The sequence below is a fragment of the Homo sapiens genome, chromosome 6 (genome assembly GCF_000001405.40).
Source record: "Homo sapiens chromosome 6, GRCh38.p14 Primary Assembly".
Classification (NCBI taxonomy): Eukaryota; Metazoa; Chordata; class Mammalia; order Primates; family Hominidae; genus Homo; species Homo sapiens.
Genome location: NC_000006.12, coordinates 118,162,777 through 118,181,087, shown reverse-complemented (window position 1 = coordinate 118,181,087; position 18,311 = coordinate 118,162,777). Strand labels below are relative to the sequence as shown.

At 37.2% G+C, this 18,311-nt stretch overlaps 1 protein-coding gene and 1 long non-coding RNA gene across 3 annotated transcripts in view; one reads left to right on the top strand and one right to left on the bottom strand.

Annotated features, from left to right (window-relative positions):
* The window catches only part of SLC35F1 (solute carrier family 35 member F1), a 410,408-nt gene that overhangs the window by 136,584 nt on the left and 255,513 nt on the right, over positions 1 to 18,311 (bottom strand). The gene's annotated exons all lie outside the window — the stretch shown is intronic.
* LOC107986523 (uncharacterized) overlaps positions 1,782 to 18,311 on the top strand; it is a 48,119-nt gene continuing 31,589 nt past the window's right edge. The window contains exons 1-2 of the long non-coding RNA XR_007059722.1: positions 1,782 to 1,874; positions 5,218 to 5,311. This is a non-coding gene — a long non-coding RNA (uncharacterized LOC107986523). The remainder of the gene's footprint in view (positions 1,875 to 5,217; positions 5,312 to 18,311) is intronic.

Genomic DNA, 18,311 nt, shown 5'->3' with positions numbered 1-18,311 from the left:
CAATATACCCTCTTTTTTAAAGGATAATTTTATTACATATGTAATTGTAGGTTTTGTTGGTATTATTACACTTCTCTAGATGTCATTGTTTGTCTAATTGTTACTATTTTGTGGGTAGTCTTTATCTTTCCTTTGTTTTGTGTAAGATTGTCTCCTTAGGGTTCTGCAGTTTTATTACGATACGTCTAAATGTGGTCTTATTTTCATTCTAAATGCAGTGAATACCTTGCTTGGTATTCACTAGATTGTCAGAACCTAGGCATTTGTGTCTTTTATTAATTCTGAAAAATCTGTTGCCATTATCTCTTTAGTGCCCATCTCCCTTTCTCTCTATAATCTCCTTCCGGAATCTGAGTTCATATTGCACATTCTCACTCTCCATGTCAATTAACATGTTTCATATTTTCATCTTTCTATTTTTGTCCTGCGTCCTGAATAAAGTCTGAAGAACTAACTTTCAGTTCGCTAATTCTCTCTTTAGTAGAATCACAGCTGTTGTTTTATCTCTATATTGGTTTCTAATATCAATTATTACATTTTCATTTCTAGAAATTCTATTTGTTGTTTTTTTCAGATCTACCTGATCAATTTTTGATAATCTCTTTCTCCCGTGTCATACAATGAAAACTGTCTTATATTTCTTTAAACATATTTACTTTAATTCTTTATCTAGTAATTCCAACATCTGTAATCTTTGCAGGTCTGTTTCTGTAGCTTATTGTTACGCTGCCTCTTTCTCATGTGATTTGTTTAAAATGTTAAAAAATTAGTAGCTCATAGTCCTTAGAACTTGACCTGTGGGAATTCTTTGAGATCCTATTTTAAAATGCATTCTTCCAGAGGATCTGTAATTGTTTATGCCAAACACCTAGGGAAACTACCAATCTGAGACTACTTAAAATTAAATTTTAGCTTCAGTGGTTTTAAATTCATACAGATAATATGCTTTCTAGCCCCAAATATGCATACATATGGGCTATGGTCAGAAATTCTCAAAGGAGAAATGTTTTTCCTATTTATTTTGCTATCAACAGACCAAAACTCAGACAGGCACATTTCCCTATTTCCTTTCTTATGGGACAGATTTCATCCTAGCTCATCCACTGAGAGTTTCCTGGATTTACTCTAGGTCTCTGGTCCAACATTTCACATTTGCTGCGTTCCAAGCCTTTCCTTTTGAATGCCATATTGGCAACTGTTAAAACCCAGGTTCTAGAACACTACGAGCAGCAGTCACATGCCTCAGTTACATAACCAGCGTGAGAGTGTCTGTCTATAGGAGCTACTGGCCTGCACTCGTATCTGGCCTCCACAAATTCCTGTAACTTTACTAGAAGGTCAGTTATGCTTTAAAAAAAGCCTTTAAAAAATATTCATTCCACAATCCCAAGAGTACTGTACTGGGAAGAGTTTCTCCCAACATATAAACAAAAAAATTGAAATCTGTGATGGTCAATTTTATGTGCCAATTTGACCAAGCTAAGAGGTGCCCAGATGGCTAGTAAAATATTATTTCCAGGTATCTGTGATGGTGTTCCCAGAAAAGAATAGCATTTGAATCAGTCCACTGAGCAAAGAAGATTGCCCTCACCAATGTGGGCAAGTGTTCCAATCTGCTGAGAGCCCAGACAGAACAAAAAGGCAGAAGAAAGGCAAATTCACTCTTTCTCTCTTCTGGAGCAGGGACATTCATCTTCTGCCCTCAGACATCAGAGCTCCTGGTTCTCAGGCTTTTGGATGAAGAGACTTACACCAACAGCTCCTTTTCTTCCTGTTCTCAGGCTTCTGGACTCAAAATGAATTACATCACTGGCTTTCCTAGTTCTCCAGCTTGCAGATGGCAGATCATGCGACTCCTCAGCTTCCAAAATCATGTGAGCCAATTTCTCATTTTATATATATATGGTCTCTTATTGGTTCTGTTTCTCTGGAGAACACTGATGAATACAAAAGTGAAGCATACCCAAGCCCCTGTTCCAAAAACTCCTGAGATAAGCCTGGCTCCAGTTGCTTCTGCTCAGTTCTCAGTGTATAAGGGGTATACATAGATTTAACTCAGGGGAAACATTAATTTAAACTATATCTAGAAGATGAATCAATTAAGTCATGTATATTCTGCATTTAAAAAGTCTTCATTAAAAATTGTAATAACGTGGACATAATCTTTCTGTTATGGCTCCCATAGAAATATTCTAAAGAAGAATGTTCAAAACTATTTTGCTATTATCTAAGTTTAGTTTTGAGAGACTGAGTTGCTAAACCTCCATGGGTGAATCTGATTATATGTCAATCACAGACCTGGGTTTTTAGTGCACAAACCCACTCTCAGAGGGACTGAAATATCCTGGGAAAAACATAAGAGAGTTATCTTTTTCATCTGGCTGTCTGGGTTTCTTTATTGGTATTGTCAGTCTCCTGTAGTTGACTGGGTAGGAGCAGGGTCTTCCCTGAGGCTCAGTGTAAGGAATTTTCTCCACATCCATGGTTTTGTGGAATAAAAAAGGCACCTGGGCTAATACATATGATTCTTCTTGAGCTATTTGTGATTCCTCCCTCCTCCCCCTTAAAAGTAAATGATAGGTAAAAAGCATCATTAGAAAGATAAAATATGCTGATATTCACTTTTAAGGTTAAAGAAATAACATTTACTAAAAATAAATTGTTATAAATAAGATGGTCAGCTGCATTGAATACAAAAGTAAAAAGGATATGAAAACTCTTTCAAAAAAACAGCTGTAGGAACACAGGATCTTCCCACACATGGGCAAGCGGTTGGCCCCTAGAAACAAGGCCTCTAACAAGAGAGGTGTGGAGGAGAAAGTGAGGCCAACATTCTAGGTAAGGAAGGTGAGAGGGACAGAAGAGTTGGCATGCTTTGGGGGATGGTAAAAAATCTAGATCCGCAACCCCCAGGAGGTGTGGATATCTAGTGCAGCGATCCCAGGAATTTGAACAGAAGGGACATGGAGCAGTGATGGAGACCTGATTAGCTGTGGCTTCCAGTTTTGGGAGATACTTGAGCTGCAAGATTGGGAAAGCTGCTATTGTAGGAGTAGAACATCCAAACCTCACAAAAGTGAGCATGAGATCATTTGACACCTACCTCACCTCAGTACTACCACGGCAGGTAGCACAGAAGTAAGGAGGAATGGGGAGTGGCTTTATAGGCAGCACTTAGCCAAGGCCTTTCCTTTCTGCCAAAAATCAGCGTGTTCTACATGACCACTACAATGGAAAACATTCCTGAGTAAGGAGAGACCATTTTTCAGAGTTCACAGGAGAGTCCAAAGGGACTTAGAATCTATAGTAGTAAGTTAAAAAAAAACAAAAACGATGTAGAACAATGGAACTATAACAGAGGAAAATTCTGTTTAAATTATGAATATTGACTGTTTTTTTAAAACAAAACTAAGAATTTTCTGTAATTTGTAACCAGTCAGTGGCAGGGTCAATAACAAGAGTTTAGAGGCCAATACATAGAAGAGGCCGGACCACACTAGAACAGAGATCAGTCCCCGCCCAAGGTTCTGGCATTTCCTCAAACTCAAGAGGAAATTCTTAAATTCAAGCCATGCTTTTCATTCTAAGAGTTTTTATAATGAAGCATACAACTATTCCATGTAGCAGGAAGGGAACTGCTTAACTGTAGGGTATGTGGGAGGGATTATCTCCTTTACTTTCTTGGCCATTCCAGTAAGTTTTGATTTAGAAGAGGAAATATAAGATAAAATTTGTCTAAGATAGCAAAAGGATAGGGAGGCTTGCTCAGAAAAGATGAAGTTTGGTCAGTTATAACATACTTGACAGTATCTAATTTAGAGTTTCACATTTTTAGGAAGTGTGAAGAGATCAGAGAGTCAGGAGATGTGCAAGGAAAGCGATGATAGGCATAGAAAATAGGACCTATCAAGAAAGCTTTAAAAAGCATGCAGCAGTCCTTAAAGATGGGAAGGTTTTGGTGATTTAATGTGACTTGAGGTGACTTTCAGGAATACAAAAGATTATTAGAAAGAAGTGAGTCTATAACACTATGGAAAAACTTCTGGTCAGGTATCAGGCAAATAACTTTTAACAAGTTAAAAGATACAGAACTAGCTGCTTGGTAATATGCTTTCCTGCAATAAGGATGTAGGAGGATGTAAGAAAATCAATTGATCCCTTTTTCATTTGTGATCATTTAGGTGCAGTGATCTGTGAGTATACAAAAAAAACAAGCACAAATTTAAACTATAAATAAAAATGTGGCACTAGAAAGAAAAAAAAGGAGGAAGCATCCCAAGGGAAGGTGCCAACATAAAGTATAATACAACTAAACGATGTGCTTATTCCCAAGCTCAAAACAAAACAAAAGAAAAACAAACACACAAAATGAATGTACCTTGTAAGGCTTAGCTACGTTAGCTTTGTCATAAAACAATATGTACTGTATAATTTTTAAAGGTTTAATATATACGTAAATATATATACCAAAATGTCTCTCTGGAGAGATTGCAGATGATTTTTTTCATTGTATTTTAAAGATATATTCCCAAATCTCTATAACCAACACTTTATGACCAGTAAAAATAAACAAATATTTTAAGCAAAAAAAGAGGCCCAGCACTATGGCTCATGCCTTTAATCCCAGTGCTTTGAGAGGCCAAGGCAGGAGGATCGCTTGAGCCCAAGGGTTTGAGGCTTCAGTGAGCTATGATTGCCACTGTACTCCAAAAACAAGAGAGAAAAGAGGGAATTAATCAATCTCCTCCCAATCTGATCAGCAGAGAAGTGAGTCCTTCTGTCTCAAAGGGAAATGAACTGAACTGAAGCTGTTGAGAGGAGAGTCATAAGAATGAAGAGGGGAATGGGGATATTTAGCTTGGAAAGAAAAGTGTGCGTGGGGTGTGCCTCTAAACATTTCAGTGACTATCTAATAAAAGAACAGTTCAATATTCCATGGGGTAGAGAACTAGATTTAAGATTGTAAGTATCACCTAAAAGGAAACATATTTTGGCTCATTATCAGGATGACATTTAATGGTCAGAGCTCCCCAAAAATGAGATACATTTCCCTGGAATCCAATGAGCTCAAAATACTTAACATTGAAGAAATGGAGACCCCACAGTTGGAGTAGGTGACTCTAAGGATCTCCACCAACTTTTTTTTTCCCTCTCGCTAATTGGTCTCACTATAAATAAGAAAAGTTATTTTTCACCTTTGACTGTGTCTGAAATTAGATGAGCAAACTATGGATAATGGAATGACTACGGATACTTTCTCAAGTGGAGCAGAAGTGCCTGGTCAAACTAAGCCTCCTCTTCTGACCTTCAGGTATGACTCTCATCTTCTACCTCAAGAAGCTTCTGGGAATACATACAGAAAAATGTTAACTTTTAAAATTGCCAGCCATATTTGCTGGAAGTGTTCCCATGTATGCCTGTGACAGTGGTAGTGTTTGTGAAGGTGAGGCTGATCAATGAAACTAAGGTGGAAAACATCTGAGTAATGGCATGTGGACTTACATAACATCAGATAGTTTTGGTAGCAGGAAAACACATAAAACTTTCTGCTTTCTTTTATAAATCAAATAATTATGTTAGTGGCATTTTGGTAAATTGGTTAGAAAGTTTCATTTCAAAAGTTTTGATTACAAAGTTTCTGATGATTTTTGTTGACTGATAAAAATAGGATATCCTGAATTTGCATATTCAAAGGATTGAGCTTCTTATTTTTATTGCCAGTGAGAATTTTCCATAACAGAAAAGGCTTGACAAGTATTCTCACCACGACTTTTCACATCCCAGCCTGAGAAATGAGATCAAGGAAAGTGGAGCTTGTCTAATTGCTAATTTGCCAATTTGAGTCTGTAGGAAGTGGAAAATTGAGGCTTTGACTTTACTTTAATTTTACTTTCTATACTTTGATATGGACTGAATTTTTAATAAGACCATTAATTATTTTTTATAATAAAAACAAATTGTAAAAATTAAACATTTAAAGGTTAGCATTGCCAGAGACCTGTGCCAGTACATAACAAATGCGATGAAGTACAGGCAGGGTGGAAAGTGGCTGAAAGCAATCTTCCGACTTCTATAGCTCTGGTTCCAATCTTGGCTGTGCTTCTTACTAGATGTATGACTTTTAATTGTCTTCACTTTTAAAGAGTACTTTTATGGTTTACAGACTTATATGATGACAGGGTTGTTTTTTTTTTCTTCAGCACTTCAAAAATGTTTTAAAAAATGACTTCTTGCCTCTATTGTTTCTGAAGAGAAGTATATTTTCCCTTTGTGTAATGCATTTTTTTCCTTGCTGCTTTCAAGGTTTTCTTTTTCTTTTTGTTTTTTAGAAGTTTGACACAGAAAAGAAATGTGATTTTCTTTGCATAGTTTCTGCTTGGGATTTGCTGAGCTTCATGGATCTGTTTGATGTGTTTCAACAAATATGGAAAATTCTCAGCTATTATCCCTTCAAATATTTATTCTGCACCATTGTCCCTCTTTTTCTTCCAGAAGTCCAATTGCATGCATGTTGGATCATTTAATATTGTCCCATACACCTTGGATATTCCATTCTGTTTTTCTTCCTCTCCTCTCCTTTTTATTCTGTTTTAACTGGATACCTTGTGCCTACCTGCCATCTAATTCAGATTCTTTCCTCTGTTGAGTCCTACATTCTTCATTTCTTTTACTGTGTTTTTTATTTGTAGCATTCCCATTTGACTATCTTAAAAATAGGTGCCTGATCTCTCGTGAAATTCCCATGTCTTCATGAATGTTGTTGACTGATCCCACTGGAACTTGATTTTTATCATAGTTAAGTTTGATAATTTGCTGATAATTCTAACATCTATGACATCTCTGGGTCTGCTTCTATTGATTACTTTCTCTCTTGACCATGTGTCACATTTTCTTGCTTCATTGCATGTCTAGTCATTTTTACTTGTATCTGCACATTTTGTATAAAAAAACAGTAGAGACTGAACTAAGCAATATTTACTTCTAAGTCCATGCCATTTCACTTGTGTCAGGCTTGTTGATTGAGAAACAGAGTCCATCTGATAACTGGGATTGGTCTTTCTTGCAACTTTAGTTTGACTTAGTTTACCATTGTCTTCAAATAATTTGAGAGCAGAATCAGTACTTACTCTTCTTCAGGCATGGAATCTGAGTGCTGGGTGAGGTTCCGGAGATTGCTGCACTTTACAACTACGCTTCCAGCTTTCTGAAACATTAGATGTATCTCTTTGCTTTACAATTCAGCTGTTATTTGGGCTTTTGAGACTTCTCTTTGCTCTCCAGTCCTGTACCAGGGTTTCTGCACCTATGGAATTCTCTCTCTTTCTCTGCCTGAAATGTCTCAAAAAGATTTCTCTCAGTTCTCCAGTCCTACCTTGCTTGGCAGCTGAAAGTCTGGTGTATCTTAAACTCATTTCTCTCAGATCTTCTGTACTACTCTCCTTCGTCTGCAAAGGATGACTGCCATGCACTGGGAGGCTCCACACACTTAGGATCGCTTTTAGCTCTCCTGCATTACCGTATAGTGTGTGGTATATCACATGCCCAGCACTAGGTGAAGACTCATGGAACAGAGTTTGCAGGTATATGTAGACCTGCCTTGTGGCTGAGGTCCTTTAGAATTATAATCTGCCTCACCGGTCCATATGTGGCCATTAAAACCTAAAGTTTTGGCTGTTTTTTTTTTGTTTTTTGTTTTTTTTTTAACTAACTCTTTCTATGATGGATTCTTTTTTTTCGTAATCTGTTAGGGATGAGAGAAGTATGAATATTTTTCCTCCTACAAATGAAATTTTCTGGAGTTTTGTACATTTAGGTTTCTTTTCATCCTTAGCTTTCTGTTGGGTTCAGAAAACTGTAATTTTACAGCTTATCAGGCTTGTTTTTGTTGATAGAATGAGAGTTGATCTTTTGTGGCTTACTATATCCTAAACAGAAGTCACTACATAATTTTTAGTAAGTTACCTAACCTCTCTGAGTCTCATCTGTAAGATGACCTATGGGATGCTTGTGGGGATTAAAGATGATGTGCTGTATATTCTCATTATCTTTTCCTTTCTCCTTTGGATGGTGCTTGAAATAGTGCACAGTATGATTATAAAAACAAATTCACTGTGCACTATTTCTTTCTCCTTCATTTAATTGTGTGCTTCTCTTTGTCAATGTTCATCCAAGTTGAATAAACTGTTTCACCTGTTGCTTCAGAAAATCTTATTCATCCTGAAATATACTAGTTTTATTCAGAGCTGTGGCTTAAATAAATGAATAGCCAGCCCTAAAAAAGTCACATACACTTGGATACTGACTCTCAAATATCATCAAATAGATTAACATTTTAATGAAACAACCACAATTACAAATTCATATCTCCAAGCATATAAATATGTTAATAAATACTTTTTATTTGACAGATATCCCCATTTTTTTGAGCCAGGAAATCTGAGCCACAGATTTCCTTAAGGTAGCCTGCTTAAGGAAAGAACATAAACCACAGTAGAGACTATTCTTGAACACAATTTTACTGTCTTGATTCACACAGCAGTTATCTAGACCATGCTGCTAATTTACACAGATTTGGGATTCCTGCAACCTACTTCTATATAACATTCATTATTTTTTAAAGAGACAGGAAGAGTATATATTAAGTTCACTTCATTTTTTTGGATGAGACGTTAATAAAAATGCCACAAGAGTGCAGAAAACCATATGTAGGTGACATTAGGTTATAGAAAAAGGCAGGATACATTTGGCTGAAGGGCATAACCTTGCACTGATAACTGGCTAAAATTCCTCTATGTCTCTAATCCACTCTGCCCATTCAACACCAGTAAACCTACCATGGAACCCAAAATCCAAATGTTGGAAGATGTCCAAGGGTTATCCCTCATACTCTGCTTTCTAAGCAAAAAGAATCGTCTTTTTTTTTTTTGAATGGAGGTTCTGATTAAACCCTAGCTAAACTGACTCAAGTACTCTGGCTTACATGATGCCCTGAAGGATTATTACTGACGTCATTTATGTGATCACAAGCTGTGTTTACAGCAATAAAGAAAGCCAGGCTTGGGTAGTATTAATAGCCCTACTAATTACACTACTATAAAAGGTTTATGGATGGTATAAATTCCTATATTATTATCCAATGCTCTGGCAGTGGCATTCTTCCAGAGGAAGGTATCACAGGGCTCATTTGTTTTCCCTTTTTTTGCACTAATTCATGAGAAGATGAAACAAGAGACTATATGAAAGAAAGAAGAAAAGGAGTCCACTGGGACACACTCTTACACCAAGATCATTATGATTTCACATTTTTACTTTAGGACTTAAAAGTTATTTCATGTTGCCAATAAACATATAAAAGGAAGCTCATTTTACTGGTAATTAAGGAAATGAAATATAAAACAATAAAATATTTTTCACCTTTCAGACTGACCAGAAAATTACTGATAATATTCAATGGTGACACTTAAGTGGGGAAATAGGTACTCTTGAATACCAAGAATAGGCTTTTGAATTGGTAATGTTCTTTTTGGGGAAGGACTGTGAAGGGGAATTTTTATTAATATTTAGAATGCCCGTTGACTCAGCATTTATTTTTAGAAATGTAAACAAGATACACTCACATGTATACAAAGATATACCTATAAATATGTTTTCTATAAAAATGGATGGAATAATTCAAAATTGGAAACAATTTGTATGACCACTAACTGTGGGCTTATCAATGTTATCACAACAACTAAAGTGAAAAAAGTAAGCTGCAGGCTGGGCATGGTAGCTCACACCTGCAATCCCAGCACTTTGGGAGGCCAAAGTTCTTGAGCCCTGGAGTTCAAGACCAGCCTAGCCAACATGGCAAAACCCCACTGTCTCTACAAAAAATATAAAAATTATCAGGGCATAGTGGTGTGAGCCTGTAGTTCCAGTTACTTGGGAGGCTAAGGTAGGAGGATCTATTGAGCTCAGGAGGTCAAGGGTGCAGTGAGCCATGATCAAGCCATTGCACTCCAGCTTGGGTGACAGAGAGAGACCCTGTTTCCAAAAGAAAAAAGAAGAACAAAGAAAAAAGCAAGCTGCAGAACAGTTTGTTTAGTTTCTAGCATTTACACAAAAACACATTATAATTATGTATATAAATGCATATGCACAGAAACATGCCATGAAAGATAAATAACAAAATTTAACAAGACTTCCTTTGGAGAATGGGATTTATGGTAGATGAGACAAACTATTACTTTAAAAAAATTATATTTATGTCTATATTTGAAATGTTTATATTTACATAAACACTTACTGTTTATATTCATGTCTTACTTGGGTAATTTAAAAGATTAAAGTAAACTTAAAAATGAGGTCAGGTGTGGCTGGCTCACACCTGTAATCCCAGCACTTTGGGAGGCCAAGGCAGGTGGATTGCTTGAGCTCAGGAGTTTGAGACCAGCCTGAGTAACATGGTGAAACCCTGTCTGTATAAAAAAATACAAAAATTAGCTGGGCATGGTGGTGCACACCTATAGTCCCAGCTACTTGGGAGGCTGAGGCAGAAGAAAGGCTTGAGCCCAGGAGGCAAAGGCTGCAGTGAGTCCAAATTGCACCACTGCACTCCAGCCTGGGTGACAGGGCCATACCTTGTCTCAAAGAAAAATAAAAAGAAAATGGTTATAATGTTATCACCTCAAATATAGTCTCAGAGTCTCTTGGCTCTCCACGGCTTCTTTGTAGAATTTAGCATATAAACATATTAGCAAGTGGACATATTAGCATGTTATATCTATTCTATAAAGTGGGCATGTGCCTTAGAAGCAGTCCAACAAATATATTTGATTCAAAGATTTTTATTAAGGAGATCTTTCCATTTATTTTAACTCTCAATCAAATTGGATTGATTTTAATTGGAAGTTCCATATAGTAAGAGATGAATGGGGTTCTTTGAGTTTAGCAAAAATGCTGAATAAAGAGTGCAATATCAATCAAAATTATTTGTTATAAAATTTGTGCCTGAAATATTATTTGCTTTTTTACATTAGGATCAAAGTTTCCCACTCTGAAATCCAAGGCAACTTAGCCTGCGTTTTAGAAGACACTCTGCTCAAAGAACAAAAATTAGCATAGTACATCTTTGGCCTCCTTTCCTCAACTAGACAGGTTAATTAGAAAGCAGGTATAGCAACATCCTAGTTGCTAAATTCTTGATTTTGAGTTTCTTTGAATCCTTATTAAAAGATCTTATTTTGGCTCACAGAATAGAGCACAGAAGTACATGTTGATTTGATTTCAATAGAAATGGAAAATAATCACTTTTTATTAACCAATTCCTCCCCTGTTTTTTTTTAAATCCTGATTTCAATTTATGTCATAAATGATGAAAGGTTTACATGGTCATCCAGTGCCTATAATGTTTTAAAAGAGGGATTATTGGGATGAAGGTGGGCAGGTATCAGAGACAGAAAGCAGTTCAAAGGTGGTAGTAGCAGTCCAGGTAAGACGCGATGGGTGGCTTGGCTGGGGGCAGTGATAGGGCTGATGTGGATCGAGAGAGCGCATCTGTAAGGGTCTCATAGTGTTGGGAACACAGCTCAATAGATCATCATGAAATTTAACTGACGACAACTATGCATCAGTCAATATGTTCTTCAACCAAATTAATCTCCAACCAGAGATAATGTGGGTTCTTTAAGTTCATTTGTTGAGTCTGCTTAAATGTTAGCCATGGGAGGCTGCATAGATATATGGGAGATATTTGTGGTGGGGTTGTAGAGACCTTCTCTAGGGGAAAATTCCCTTTATGCTTTGCAGGTGAAGCCGTGAATAGATTTTGCTCATAAATTTTGGTATAAGATTAATAGGACACAATAATGTTTTCTTCAAAGGAGTGATCATTGCTACATTTGGTTGGAATATTTACCTGTGATACTTTCTGAAAACACATTAGGACTAGTGGAAATTGTGCATATTGCAATGTTGCTATCAGAGGCACCATTAATTTACTCCTCTAGAATACTATGATATGGTAATCGAATACTCTGAAAGATGTGAAGAACATTTGCTGAATGGAGCATGCTGCATACTCAGAAAATGAGATGAGCTAGTTGGTTAAAAAATTGATATTTTGCTCTCTCTTCCTGCCCCTCTGCAGATGCTAACAGTCCCAGTGAGTTGTTGTATATCTTTGTTCTCTGTCAGATACTAGGATAAAGCCCATGAACCCTGATATCTTCCACCGTGTTTTCACTTGGTCACTTTATAACATAAGATTATAGTGGTTTTCTAATATTTTATGGGACTTGTTAGAAATTTCAAAAGAGTTTAAATTCAGTATACCAGCAAGGGCTGAAAGTATATTCCCAAATCACCAGGAAAAGGAGTAAAGCCAGTTTGCCATTACATAGAGGGGTCACTTGGGTCTGAAGTCAGTTGCTGTAGACCACTGACCTATATATAACTGCTCGTAAAGGAAGACGAGACAGTTAAGAGTCTTGGAAGTGACTCATATCCCTTATCTGCATTTTCACTTTCCACGGTTTCAGTTATCCATCGTTAACCACCGTCTGAAAATAAGTGAGTACAGTACAATAAGGTATTTTGAGAGGGAGACCATATTCACATAACTTTTATTACAGTATATTGTTATAATTGTTCTATTTTATTATGTTATTTTTGTTACTGTGCCTAATTTATAAGTTAAATTTTACCATAGGTATTCCTGTATGTATAGGAAAAAACATAATATATATATAAGGTTCTCTACTATATGCTGTTTTAGGCATCCATTGGGGGTCTTGGGATGTATTCCATGAGAATAAGGGGGGAATATTATATTTATCAAAATAGCCTTCTGGTCTAGTTCATAGAAGCCCAGCAACCAAGAAGCGGCCACAACTAAGTCTAAATAAAGGAAGTGGATGATGTCTGTGCAGTATTCTCCAAGAGAGATAGTTGGGGCAAGAGGTGAGGGGAAGACAGCGCAGGGACTGGAAGAACAGAAGCTGCTCTTCTTAATGCAAAGTCAGGGTCCCTTTGCGCAAAATCCCTTTGCATGTGAACAACTGAAGAAAGGCTAAGGGGAAGCCATGAAACAGCAAACTATTGATTCTAGCGGTTATAATGAATTATTCTGCTGTGAATAAGTGGGGAAGACAGGACTGGAGCTGGATGGAGAGAAGAGTGGTGAAGTGGATGATAGAGAGGTTCAGTTATGTGCTGTATAACGATGTTTTGGTCAACAACTGACTGTGTATACAATGGTGGTCCTACAAAATGTTAGTGGAGCTGAGAAATTCCTACTGCCTAGTGATGTCATAGCTATCATAACATCATAATGAAATTACTTAATTTTTAAGTAAGTTTAGTGTAGTCTAAGTGCATAGTGTCTATAAAATCTACAGTAGGGTACAGTAATGTCTTAAGCCTTCACATTCACTTGCCACTCAGCCAGAGCAATTTCCAGCCTTGCAAGCACCATTCATAGTAACTGCTCTATATAGGTGTACACTTTTTATTTTTATACCATATTTTTACTGTACCTTTAGTATATTTAGATATATTTAGATACACAAATATATACTCATTATTGTGTTACAATTGTCTACAGTATTTGGTACAGTAAGTAACATGCTGTACAAGTTTGTACCCCAGGAGCAATAGGCTTTACCATATAGGCTAACCATGTAGCCTAGGTGTGTAGTAGGCTATAACATCTAGGTTTGTGTAAGTACACTGTATGATGTTTGCACAATGACGAAATCACCTAAAGACGCATTTCTCAGAAGATATCCCTATATTAAGTGAGGCATGACTGTAAATGCTTTTGCAATTAAAGTTTGGTGAAGATAAGGGAAAGGGTGGCACTCAGATTTGTACTCTTGCGCAGTTACAGGGACTCTTTACTCGTCACTCTCCTCCTCTTATCTGTGAACTTGGAGGGGGTAGGAGAAGGGAGATCATCTTTACTCAATTAGGGATCCTTCGCATCTCGTAGCACAGTGACTGACAGACGAAGAAAGCCCCCCGAAGGCACTTGCTGAATAAATGAATAGTGAATGAAGTAATGAACGAGTGAATTCATGAAGAAAGAAATAAGGGACTGAGGAACTGAAATTTATATAAGAGAAATCTGAATAAGATGTAATCAGTTTGGAGCCTTCTGGAAGGTTCTATATAAAGTAATCATGGGCAGAACTAAAAGTATAAAACTCTTCAGAACTAAAAGTATAAAACTCAAGTTGCATCCTTGGCTTGCGTACCAGGTTGGCTCCTTCAGTTAAGAGACACTCTCAGTATAGGAACACGTTCACCAATGACTTTCCTTTTGGGTGTCTAGATTACTCAACACATCTGAGGTCCAAATAATAGAAAACAGGGGTAGAGACTTAATAAGTTTCCATGTAGTAAATAACTTACAATTTTTAACAGTGCAGAGACTTCTACATTTATGTCACTTACATAAGCTATGCCCACACATTTCTCTGTTGAAAAGAAGTTACTTACCAAGTTCCTTAACTTTATTTTTAGAAGGTGAGTTCTTCACTTGCTTCTGAATGATCTAACTTAGTTTCTTTTAGCCTAACAAAAGTTTAAAATCAATAGCTTGTTTAAAGCTGTGCTATAATCATCCCGAGTTTAACACTGCACAGCTGGAAATTTCGACCTCAGCAAATGACATCCACTAAGCCAAACGTTGAAATCTACTTGTAGGTATAGAACCTGCTGCTTTGAATCTGGTAAGGCCCCAGTAGTCCATTGAGTTTGTCCATAGCCCACTCCTCCAGCTCAGCAATGGCTGAGCAACAGCTCCATTCATGATCTGTGATATCATGGCCTTCTCCCCTTCTCAAATGATACCCTAGTGGCCACTTCTCCACCAGAAGTGGCTTTGTAGCCTCCAATGCTTTGTGTTCTCTCAGAGCATTTTGCAACTCTTTTTTTTTTAATCTTGCATTATTTTTAATTTTTTTCCTCTCCCCACCCTGATTTTATTTTCCAACTCTGAAATAGAACATTCTTATCTTGCCTAAAAATGGGAGACCAATTTCTTTTAATGACCTCATCTAAGGATAGTTCTTGTCTTTGGAGAAGTTCATTAGTAAGGCCAGATCTCTTACAGAGTTCTTACTGTAGTTTCCACTGTGATGGCCTTAACAGGGATGTGTTGTTCATTGATTATTCCAAATAATTGGTGGAGATTTGGAATTCTGGTTATAAACAGTGACCCAATTTTCCCTCTGGTAATGCATCTGAATATTTCTACTGTTGTAATGATAGGGTCTTCCAAAGTATCTATGGCTCCTGTGCCCAAACCTGATTCCTTGCTGGAAGTTATCAGGGGCAAGAATGCCATCCTGTCCTGGCTTTGGCCAAATCACACTTCTTTTTCCTCACCTTCTGCAGTTGACATGTACCTCGGTCAGCAGGCCAAATGGAAATTAGGTGTTCCCAGCTGCTTTGGAGCTGCACTGCTTTCTGTATGGCATGTATATTCAGTTGGTTGCAGTTTACAATGCATTCTATGTGTATTGTGGAAGAGAAAACACTCAGGAAAGAAGGTGGTCAAGCTTCATTTACAGCATGCTTTATTTTGATTGGTACCCTAGTGCTCTGAGCCTTTTCTTGAGCAAAGAATAGTAACTTGGGAGTGTTTTACTCCAGACATGACTTAAACAGAATCTGGATCTTCTCTGCAATGTCTGGATTTGTAATAAAAGTTCTGTCTCAGTCAAGGGAGTAGGAATGCTTTTCTTACCATTTTTCCCCATTTGTCTATTAGTTAAGGCTGTGTGAGTAGGAAAAAGCTGGGGTGAAGAGAGGAAATGTGAGAAGAGCTAGAAAACACACACACACAAACAAGGGGAGAGAAAGGGTGGGAAGTAATTCTGCCTTAAGGTTTCTCAGTTCTGATGAAAACTCTAGAACAAGCACTGGCCTAGGAAATTGTTTTCTCCACTTCTTCCTTTGGCAACCCTCCCTTCCCCTTTATAATCTCTCATAGCTTGGACCATCTGGGTGCAGTTATGCCTAGAAGTCCAAGGGTGGCTCTGGCTCCTTCTGAACAAAGATTTGGGGTTCCTATTGTTCCTCTTGGCTTAGCTTTCTCAGGCAGAAAATCTCTGACTCTATACCCTGGGGGAGGGGTCTCTGAGCTTGTGCATTTAGGAATTAGTCATGGGCTAGTATAATAATTATATCAGTGAGTTCTCTCACAGTGGCCACTGAAGTGGTAAGAAAATATCTAAAATGACTGTTTTATTTCTGATCCTTCTATGAATTACACTTGTGCCTACTCTGGCATCCAGGGCCAAGTGAAGGAGAACATATATGCTGGAATATGGTCATTGAATTTCAGAGTCTCCATGGTAGAATTTATTCAAATTAAGGGTTACATGTATAAAATCCAACTTGCTGAGAAGAATCAATATTTAGTAAGCAAATCTAATGTTGATGATGGCATATTATATTCAGTTTATTGTTTTCTGTATGCCTCACACTGTCCTATAAGTTTTTTATGCATCATCTTAACCCACATGAAACTTGTAAAGAATTTACTATTATTATCCTGACTTATGAAATGATGAAATACAGCACAGACAAATTATAGATACTCATTAGGGTGACTCAATGACTCTTGAATTTTGACTGAATTGAGAAATAAGAAAAGCCCAGATCCTAATTGTTTAAAATAATATTTTAATTTAGTTGACTTAAGTAGTAATTCCTAAATATGAGTCTTAAAGATAGACATTGTCTTAGAAATGAGTAATTAGGCAGTTAAAGACAAAAAATTGATATTCACTCTATTTTTTGGAAGAAGCTTCAAATAGTAAAACAAAAAATGGCCAGAAACATAAATTCTAATCATATTTTGTTTTATTTGGAGTTATTTCCTTTATGTTTTTCCTCATATAGACCACTAAAAGAGCCCAATCACTTTAACTTGTAAAAAGTCCTAACAAGTATCACATTTAAATTTGGTGAGTTACATGATGATGCTTCTTCGAGTCCTCAAAAATCTTAGAAAGGGAAACCAATGAAACTAGACATTCAAAAAATGCATAGGCAGGAAATTATGATCCAGAGATAATTATTATGCAGTTCTAAGTCTTAAACAAAAAAAACTGTTTGCTTCATTTTTTCTTTCCTGCAAATCTCATGCAGTAGACTGCAATAGTGTCTGCAAGATGGCTAACTGCTGAGTCTTTGATTTAATGAAAACTTAGGGAAAGCAATTCAGTTCACTGCAGGGACTGCTTTGTTCTTCCATTATGATTCTTTTTTCATGAGAAAGATGATTGTAAAGATAAACTCTATTCCTCTGAATTTTTACACTAATTACATACAAAGCACTATTTTGGCAGAAGGGGACTTATCTCCTTCAGGCAATACAGTTATCATCTTGTAACCACCCTTCAATCTCCCACATGAAAGATGGAGCTGCGTGCCAGGAATGAGTATTTCTCTATGCTAGCTCTCAGCATGGATAGATGAATGCTTAAAGATTTCCAGAATTAACAGTCAACATGGACTCCAGATAAAACAGGCAGACAGCCTCTCCCCTTGAGCTTATATGCTGTTTAAAATAAAAGAATCAGGAAGACATTCATTAATAAAGTATTTGGCATGGGGGAATGAAGCAATGTCTGATGTATAGAGTGTGTGTGTGTGTGTGTGTGTGTGTGAGTGTGAGTGTGTTTGTGTATAAGTTTATGTAAGGATTCATTAAGAGTAGATGGTGTTACATATTCATGTCAATTTCCTTCCATCTATAAGTCATTTATTGTACTAAGTGATACTGAGAGTTCTATGTAAGATATCACTCTCTTTAAGATTCATACACATTGGCCAGGCACGGTGGCTCAGGTCTGTAATCCCAGCACTTTGGGAGGCCGAGGTGGGTGGATCATTTGAGGTCAGGAGTTCAGAACCAGCCTGGCCAACATGGTGAAACCCCGTCTCCACTAAAAAATACAAAAATTAGCTGGGTGGTAGTGGCACGTGCCTGTAATCCTGGGTACTCAGGAGGCTGAGGCAGGAGAACTGCTTGAGCCTGGGAGGGAGAGGTTGCAGTGAGCCTCTCGAGATCGCACCACTGCACTACAGTCTGGGAGACAGAGTGAGACCCCGCCTCAAAAAAAAAAAAAAGAAAGAAAAGATTCATACACATTAGCACACACACGAAATGCACTATTGGATACTATAAGTTTCGTTAAGACTGTGGGAGACTCTATTTGGTGCAGATTCACCCTGTAAGCACTGTAAGCACTGCTTATGTATGGAATGTGTGTGTTTTGTATTGTTTGGTGGACTTAAGCTTGATAGTTCATGTA